General features: G+C 48.6%; 1 long non-coding RNA gene across 2 annotated transcripts, besides 3 other annotated features; it reads right to left on the reverse strand.

Moving 5' to 3' along the window:
• Positions 5,445–6,644: an enhancer, noted in NCBI's record as "BRD4-independent group 4 enhancer chr2:42157683-42158882 (GRCh37/hg19 assembly coordinates)". NCBI's record gives its function as "activates an origin of replication core promoter dependent on BRD2, P300/CBP, MED14 and CDK7 cofactors, and independent of BRD4, by STARR-seq in HCT116 cells {active_cell/tissue: HCT116}" and the evidence as "EXISTENCE:reporter gene assay evidence [ECO:0000049][PMID:35650434]".
• Positions 6,048–6,107: an enhancer, noted in NCBI's record as "active region_15626". NCBI's record gives its function as "activates an Ori minimal core promoter by ATAC-STARR-seq in GM12878 lymphoblastoid cells {active_cell/tissue: GM12878}" and the evidence as "EXISTENCE:reporter gene assay evidence [ECO:0000049][PMID:35858748]".
• Positions 6,148–6,237: an enhancer, noted in NCBI's record as "active region_15627". NCBI's record gives its function as "activates an Ori minimal core promoter by ATAC-STARR-seq in GM12878 lymphoblastoid cells {active_cell/tissue: GM12878}" and the evidence as "EXISTENCE:reporter gene assay evidence [ECO:0000049][PMID:35858748]".
• Positions 6,501–8,625, reverse strand: LINC01914 (long intergenic non-protein coding RNA 1914). 2 transcript variants are annotated; one of them, NR_110262.1, is made up of 4 exons: positions 8,178–8,625; positions 7,322–7,430; positions 7,065–7,134; positions 6,501–6,771 (listed from the first exon to the last, which is right to left on the reverse strand). It is a non-coding gene; the product is annotated as a long intergenic non-protein coding RNA 1914 (long non-coding RNA). The 2 variants fall into 2 exon arrangements; NR_110263.1 differs by lacking the exon at positions 7,322–7,430.
• Positions 8,626–9,100: the final 475 nt, after the last annotated feature.

Genomic DNA, 9,100 nt, shown 5'->3' on the forward strand with positions numbered 1-9,100 from the left:
CTGTTTAGGGACTTCATCCCAATAATTGCAGGCTCCATAATCATTAATCAGTCACCACTACTTTTCTGGGTGCCGACCACAAGCCCAGCCCTGTTCCAACAACCATGAGGAGACAAGAGCAGAGAACAGGAACTCAGATTTATTAAGTGCCTGCCCTACGCTAGGCACTGTGCCAGGGGCTTAGTTTGCATAAGCTCGTAAATCCTCACAATGATCTGGAGAGGAAAGCATTATTATCCCCCTTGTACAGATGAGGAAACTGAGTCTCAAAAAAATTAACTAGCTCAAAGTCATCAGCTTGTAAGTGAGAAGCACAGTTTGAACCTGGGTCAGGCCAACTCACAAGACTTGGTTCTTGCACTCTGGAAGGTAAGAGACTAACTGTATTAGTCTGTTCTCATCCTGTTATAAAGAACTGCCCAAGACTGGGTAATTTATAAAGGAAGAAGTCTAATTGAGTCACAGTTCCACTGGGCTGGGAGGCCTCAGGAAACTTACAAACATGGCAGAAGAGGAAGCAAACATGTCCTCCTTCACATGGCGGCAGGAAGGAGAAGTGCCAAAGCAAAGGGGGAAAAGCCCCTTATAAAACCATCAGATCTCGTGAGAACTCATTATCCTGAGAACAGCATGGGGGTAACCACCCCCATTATTTAATTACCTCCCACTGGGTCCCTCCCATAACATGTGGGGATAATGGGAGCTACAATTCAAGATGAGATTTGGGTGGGGACACAGCCAAACCATATCACTGTTCAAAAATGACACAAAGGGACAACAGCTCAAGCCGGGTTGTGCAAGCACACTCTCTGGACCACAGGAGCCTAGAGAGGGCAGGGGACAACAGGGCTGAGGTCCCAAGAGAAGACTTCTCAAAGGAAAGGCAGCACACACTAGGCTCTGAACGGTGGAGAGGATGGCACACATTTAATAAACTGTGCTCAGCACTTTCTCCAACCACTAAGTTCAGGTTTGGAAATGACTGTGGAATTTGTGCCTCACTTGGGGCCAATAAACATTTAGTAAAATGTCCAAGGAGGACATGTAGAGACACACACACACACACACACACACACACACACACACACACACACACACGCAGATCCACCTCGGCAGCTCCAGATAGCGCCTGGAACTGGCACAATGAGAAAGGACTTCAGCAGGCAGCAAGTTACTGGCATCAGACACCAGCAGGGATTAGGGCGAGGGCCAAACTGAGAGGAGGAGATGTGGAGCCAGCGGGTCCTGTGACCACCCTGGACCTGGAAGGCTGGCAGCTCCCTGGGAAAGTCTCATCCAAGTGCCCAATTTAGACCTTGCCCCAGAACTTGAGAAATGCCAGGTAAGAGGAAAGGAGCCAGGAAATGATGATGAAGAGCAGGGACTTAACGAGAACTGGACCCTCTCTCCTTTCCCAGTCATTCCAGCCACACCCCCAGCTCTGAGCTCCCACTTCTCGACCCCCTAAACACACACTAGTTGGGTATTCAGACCCCTCAGCTTCACGGGAAGTAATGCATACATCACAATCCTGTCAGGATTCACCTATCAGTCTCTCCTGGGTGCTGGCTCTGTCCACATGAATGTCTCCACCAGGCAGAGACTCAGGGCCCTCAGGCCAAGCTTGGGCCTGGTTAGAGGTAAACATATGAGAGCCAGCCAAGATCTGGCCAAAGGGGCTCATGCCAGCCCAGCCCCAACTGCGGTATATGTGCCGGCCTGGAGGAATCCCACAGGACAAGCTGTTCTTTCCTAGAGCTGGGATAAGGAAGTGAGCCTGACCCCAGGGGTCACCCAAGCCCATCTTCCATGACTCACAGGGCCTAACACATTGTCTGTATGACAGTCCACAGCACATTGACTTTGCCAATAGGCTGTGACTCTGGATTAGGTTCCAGAGTGAACTGCTGGCCTGGAGGCCCAAGTCAGCTCTTTTTCACCAGTGAGGCCGCCCAGCCTTCTGGAAAAGAGCATTGTGGTCCTGGAGAAAAGGCATGGAGGTCTGGGCCCTGGCTGAGAACCTACAAGCTAAACCCCAAAGAGTCAGCAAGGCCCAGACCCATTACCAGTCAGGATGCCTCACCTGGAGACCCATCTCTCACTCAGATGCCCCAGCCCTAAGCAAAATCTGCATGAGAACCAACCCTCTTGGACTAGGGGACCCTGCAAATAAGAGTCGAGGAGGCCTGTCCTGTCCTGGAGCTGTCCCTGCCTTCACCTGGCTTCTCTCCCAATCTTCCACAGAGCCTCTCACTGTTCCTGACCTAAATGAAGTGGCCAGAGAGGCAAAAGGCCCATTTATCATTTTAATTAACCACCAGATACCGACGTTCTCTGGAGAGCCCTCCCACACCACATCTAGGCTGCCTGTGGGAGAAGATGTTCTGGAAAGACCATCAGGAAGGAGGCACGGGAAGACAGAAAACAGAGAAGGAGACAGAAGAGCCTGGATTTCCCGAGCTAGAATCCCAGAAGGAACACAAAAACCAAGTCTGTGACCTTCATTTAAACGGCAGCACTGTATTATTCTGGGAAGACGGTAGTGTCAGGAGGGAAGTGGGGAGGACTTCCAACAGTAGATATTCTAAGTGAGAGCTCCCCTGGGAGGCCTGCCAGCTCTCCCAAGCCTCACCATGCCTGCGGGGCCTGACCAGCAGAGGAGCCTCACGAAGGGGTCACTCACCCTCTAGAACATCCAGAGAAAATTGGCCATGGCTCCAGAACCTGGCCCAGCCCATTTTCCAGCCTTCACGTGCCCTCCTGAGCTTTTCTTAAGGCTAATTGGTTCGGATACTGCTTCAGGACACACAAGCACCAGCTTAGACCTTTAGAAGGATAGGCTGGAGGGACAAGCCAAGGGTACCCTTCCTGATCATCCTGCGTCTGGCTGCACATCCCCAGCTAAGTAACCAGCAGTGGTGACCTCTCCCTCCCTCCTTCTCTCATCTTGCACTTCTCTCTGGCTGCAGCTGTGCATCTCTTGCTGGCAGCTGGCTCTTCCCCACTCTCTGCCTCCCTTTCTCCAAGCCCCTTCACACTCTGAAGCCTGTGAACCCAGAAAATCTGAGACAGGTCTCAGTTAATTTAGAAAGTTTATTTTGCCAAGGTTGAGGACGCGCCTGTGACACAGCCTCAGAAGTCCTGACGACATGTGCCCAAGGTGATCAGGGCACAGCCGGGTTTTATACATTTTAGGGAGGCATGAGACAGCAATCGACATATGTAAGAAGTACATTGGTTTGGTCTGGAAAGGCGGGACAACTAGAAGCAAAGGCTGGAAGACTCTTCCAGGTCACAGATAGGTGATACACAAATGGTTACATTCTTTTGAGTTTCTGATTAGCCTTTCCAAAGTAGGCAAATCAGATATGCATCTATCTCAGTGAGCAGAGGAGTGACTTTGAATAGAATGGGAGGCAGGTTTGCCCTAAGCAGTTTCCAGCTTGAGTTTTCCTCAGTGATTCTGGGGGCCCAAGATATTTTCCTTTCACAAGCCAGCAGGGAATGAGCTGTTCTGAGTTGAACAGAACGGGAAACTGCACTTTTGACTCTGAATGTATTTCAATGGAGCAGCCTCTGCTGAAAGCCGGGCTCAGACACTGAACAGCCGCTTCAGGGAGATGCAATGGTTGCAACTTGTGAACCGTGCTTTCCTTTCCACCGCCTTTTCTCTACATTTGTCTGATTCACCAGCAGCTCAACACGTTGCCTCCAGCCCAATTCCCTCTGAAGAAAGTATGCAGATGATTCATCTTCTCTGAAAAAACTACCCATCCCAGGGTAGTGCCCAGCCTCCTTTCTCTTGGGCATATACAGCCTAAATTCCCCGGCATCCCAGGGTAGTGCCAGCCTCCTTTCTCTTGGACATATACAGCCTAAACTCGGCAAGCAACAACAGGAGAGGAGGGTATTCTAGAGGAACTCCCAGAAACCACCTCATCACCAAGGACTGCAGGTGAGCCCGGCAGAGTGAAGTTCAAGGACATTGTCCATAGGCACGGAGTCACACACGTGCACACACACTGGGGCTAGTTTGGGGACCCTGAGCAACACCTGTAGAACACAGGTGAAGTCCATGGGTAGCTATTAGAATCCTGTTCTCAGCAGGGCACGGTGGCTCACACCTGTAATCCCAGCACTTTGGGAAGCCAAGGCAGGCAGATCACCTGAGGTCAGGAGTTCAAGACCAGCCTGGCCAACATGGCAAAACCCCGTCTCTACTAAAAATACAAAAAATTAGTCAGGCGTGGTGGCAGGCACCTGTAATCCTAGCTACTCGGGAGGCTTAGGCAAGAGAATCACTTGAACTCAGGAGGCAGAAGTTGCAGTGAGCCAAGATCACAACAGTACACTCCAGCCTGGGCGACAGAGCGAGACTCCGTTTCAAAAAAAAAAAAATCCTGTTAGAATCCTGTTCCCTGTTCTACCTGGGAACAGGACTCTAACAATCACCCATAGACATAACATCACCCCAAGACGGCAAGAGCCAGCTCAAGGCCTGGAGAAAGCCCCACTCACAGGGCAGATTTTTTAACACTGAGAATTTAGGGTTGTGTATGGAAGAGGGTTGTCAGATAAAATACAGGATACCAGGATAAAACTGAATTTCAGATAAACAAATAATTTTTCTAGAATAAGTACGTCTCAAATATTACATGAGTCATACTTATGCTAAAAATTATTTACCTGAAATTTGAATGTAACTGGGTGCTATGGGTTTTTATTTGCTAAATCCAGCAATTCTATAACTACTCGACTCCACAGTCATGTTAGAAATGATGACAGTATCACAGAGTAAATAGAACAAGAAAATTGCAATCAGCTCACCTTTTGCTTATCCCTCGGGGTCTTTCTCTGGGTCCCGGTGCACCCAAATTCTCCACCATAACCTCTCTTGCCTCCATCCCACCTGACCCCTTAGCTGCTCAGAGATCCTGTGGCCCCAGGTGTAGGCCAGTGCTTTTATCTCTTAACTCAGCTGCATTGAGGTTGAATTTTTCAAAAGGAACTTTATTAGAAAACTAGAGGAGCATATAAATATCTGAATTCATAAAAAAAAAAAAAAAGAATCGTAGTTATCACATGTAAGGAGATCAAATATCAAAGCCCTGGAAACTAAGTCTAGCCATGGCCTGCTCATTCTTTTTCTCCAACTGTTACTGGATCCACTGACTTGCAGTGAGGGTTTTTAAGCTGGTTGTACCTTCAGTGAAGCTGAACCAACATTCTGGAAGGGAGGCTCCACTGGCTGCATATTACAATCACCTAGGAATCGTTTTGCCGCCTATCCTAGACCAATTAAATCAGAATTTCTGAGAGTAGGGTTTGGGCATTGGGAGATTTAAAAGCTCCCCAGGTGATTCTAATATGTATCCACGGCTGAGAACTCATGCACGTTGGAATCACCTGAAAACCTATTAAAAAGCTGCTTGTCTCCCACCCTCAGAAATTCGGATTTAATTGGTATGAGGTGTGGCCTGAGCATTGGGATTTTTAAAAGCTCTCCAGATGATTTTAATGTGCAGTCAAGTTTGAAAACCCCAGCTACGCACACTTTAATAGAGTCCAAATCTCCTGGGGATTTTTAAACTGGAGATGCTGGGGTGGGGCCTGAGATTCTACGTGTCTAACAATTCTCACAAGTCCCAGGTGATACGATGCTGCTGGTCTTCATACAACGCTTTGATTAGTAAGGTCCTAGATCAATGGGTCTCAAGACGGGATAGACAGTGGAATTACCCGGGGAGCCTTAACAACTACCTCAGCCTGGGTCCCACCCCAGAGATTCTGATGTAATCTGGCTGAGGTGGGGCCTGGACATCAGGATTGTAAGAGCTCCCCAGGTGATTCTGATACGCAGCCAAGGTTGAGAACCTTGGCTGTAGACCAACATCTAGGCGTCATTTCACAAGTGGCCCTGTGACCCCCAGTGGGGAATACCACTCTCCACAAGCCTTTCTGACTCACCTCCGTTCCCTGCCCCAGCTGGCAGAAGATGCTTTCTTCCCCTGCCTCAGAAGGCCATGCCCTCTAGTAAAAATTCCCTTTCTCCCACTCCCGGCTGAAGAAAGACTCTAATTCCCAGCTCGGCTGCAGAAGAGAGATGATTGCCACAATACCCTGAAAGCGTTTCTGATCAGGCCTGCCCACTTGGCCTTCCTCAACTTTACCTCTGATTACCAACTGTTCCCCCTGCTCAAGTGGCCTTCTCTAAGGCTGCCTCTGCCAGAGGAGCCACGTAAGGCCACCTCTGCCAGAGGAGCCGTGGGCCACAGAGAAGTACACGTCACCTGCCAGTCAGTCACAAGCAAAGAAGAGAAGTTCCGTGCTTTGACAGAACACTATCAATCACAGGTGCCGAGCCGTTTTCATTACTTAGCCGTTCCCAGGCCAGTTAACATACAACCTCTCCCCTCTCCTACCTCACCCCTTTAAAATGGAGTTGTGGTGACGCATGAAACAAGAAGTGGCCTGCAGAGAACCAAAAGGAAAACGTGAAATTGAGGAAATTATGACTCTATTTTGGGTGTAATTTCCATGAAATTATTTATGAATCTTTTTTTCCCTAAGGGGTGGCCATAAATATCATCTTTAATGCATCTTCATTAGTAGCTTTCATCTTCTGATGGGCCTGCATCTTTTGTTGGAAGTTGGATGTTGTTGGTAGAAATGTTAAGTCCACATCTTAGGTGTACGGAGTTTGTATAAAATATGAACTCTAATGTGTAGAATTTGCAGGTCGCTGAAGTGTCACAGTCTGCTGAAATGGGTCTGGAATCAATAAGGTACACATCAAACTCAATTGTATTTAATTTTCATTGCTACCTAGAGGAAAGCCTTGCATGGCCCTACAAGCATGAAATTAAACATGAAAGCCCATCTGAAGTGTAGAAGCGATACTTAAAATGACCTGTAAATAGAGCAAAACATGGCAGCCCGGCCCATCGCAATATTATCATTCATTTCTCTTTCCATAGTGGAGGTGACAGCCCCCCTAAGAAAATCAGAAGAGACACGAGCACATTGCAGATCTAAAGGAGAGCTAAGTGTTTTCGGTTACACACCAGCAGGGCTTCCCTCTCTGCAGAGCCCTGGAGTCTCTTCCAAGTAGAAAATCACACTCTGTCCTTCAGCCTGAGAGTGAAGAGAGAAGGCAAGTAAAACAAGGACCTCCTGAACTTGGCCAACACCCCACTCCTGCTGCCTCCCACCCCACCCAGCTCCGTTCCTTGGCCAGTGAGATAATGGAAGGTTCAGCCCTTGCAGCTGACGTGGGGTGGGGAGCAGACGCCCACTCTGGGCACTTCCAGCCGACACTGACCTTTCAGTCATGGAAACATTCCCCAGACTGACACTAATCGGGGGCACATCTGGCGTTTGGACTGCATCCAGATGGGGGTTTGTGTTAGTCGAGTCAGCATGATAACCCGCTGGGGAGGGAGGGAGGGAGGGGAGAGGACACAGCAGCTGAGAGCAATCCCCATCCTTGGCTGCGTGAGGGAGAGGTGGTCATGCTGCGGCCAGTGAGTCATAGACTAGAGACCACCTAATTCCTGTCCACCCCTGCTCTCCCTGCTCCCTCCAACAGAGGACAAACTGGATCCACCCAGAGAGCCAACTCGCCAGAGTTCCACAACTGGTCAGCAGCAGACTACAATCTCAGTGTCCCGGCTCCCATTCTATCGCACTGCCCACTTTCTACACTCTCTCAAAGTGTAGTGTGTTATTTCAGGATAAAATATGTGCCAAGGTGATGAAAAGAATCCAGCTGTTTCTTCTCTTTCACTTCCTGTGATTTGTAAAAGCATAAGACGATTTTCCAAGACAGTGACAAACCACCATCGCTCACACCCATTCCACCCACCCCAATTCTTTCATCGTAGCTTCTTTTCTGGATTTGGAAGAAGAGACCGCCCTTTGTGACTGGTTCATGGACTTTGTCAGAAATCAACACAATGTCTTATTCTCCCATCCCTAGAACAAGCGACTGCAATTGGGAATAAGACTTCATAGTATAGAAGTTCCAGCCATACAGGTCAGGAATGACAAAGTGTCTTGGCCAGCTCTCAGCCTCTGCCTTTACAAAGTCTGACACCTGTTGCAGTCACGAATTGCACTGCTAAAGAGGTAATCAAGCAAACCAAAGCCAGGATAAAAGGGATTATGTCTCCACTCACCCACACAGAAGGCTGTCTCCAACTGCAGAAGGAAGTTCTTTCCATGGCCGCTGGAGCACCCTCCCCACTTGTGGGCACCATGGTTCAAGTCTGCCCCAGTGATCCTCTCCTGTATAAACCTCCAGGTACAGATTATGGAAATCAGGAATCTCATCCAGCTGCTCAAATAACAAAGAGGTTAGCAGTATCTTCTAGTATGAATAATTGTAACTGCAGAGATCTGTTCAGCCTTTATCCTTTCTTAAAAACCTAAAGAGAAACAAGGAAGCAACCCAGGTAAAAGCAAGACAATGGTCAATGGTCAGCTTCCCAAGGCAGGTTTCAGCTTCCACATTAACTAATCAGCTTGCAGAGCTTGCAGCACCTTCTACATCCAGCCTCCATACAAAGGACAACTATCATCCACCAACCAATTTAGTCCTCTTCTGGAAGAATCAGAAAGAAAAAATGTCTTCACTCCACTTCTCCTACCCTCCTCAAGATCACCTCCCTCCCCAAAGCCCTCGCTTCTGTGGTCCTCTCTAAGAAATATGCTTTATCCACTCCGACGGGCACAACAGTAGTAACTGAGACAGGAGAATGACCCTCTTCCTTGCTTTAGGGAAGTTATCAGTTCCACCCTCCTTGGGAAGCTCTGTGATCTCTGAGAAGAAGCTCACAGACACCATCACTCTACCTAAGCCAGTTAGGGTCTCTGCTCGTGCCAGCCCCTTTTTTCCCCACCAATGAGTTGGTACAAAGCCATTTCATGTTCCATGCCAAACCAGTAATTCGCAATACTCATCAAAATCTGCCTCCGTCCACTGACTCAGCACTCCTGCTTTCCTAGCATAGCCAACCTCCCTAACACCCTGACATCCCGGCCTTCAGTTTCACTATTTACATCACATGAGAGATTTGGGTTTCGAAAGCCAATTCCCTCT

This window comes from Homo sapiens, chromosome 2 (genome assembly GCF_000001405.40).
Source record: "Homo sapiens chromosome 2, GRCh38.p14 Primary Assembly".
Classification (NCBI taxonomy): Eukaryota; Metazoa; Chordata; class Mammalia; order Primates; family Hominidae; genus Homo; species Homo sapiens.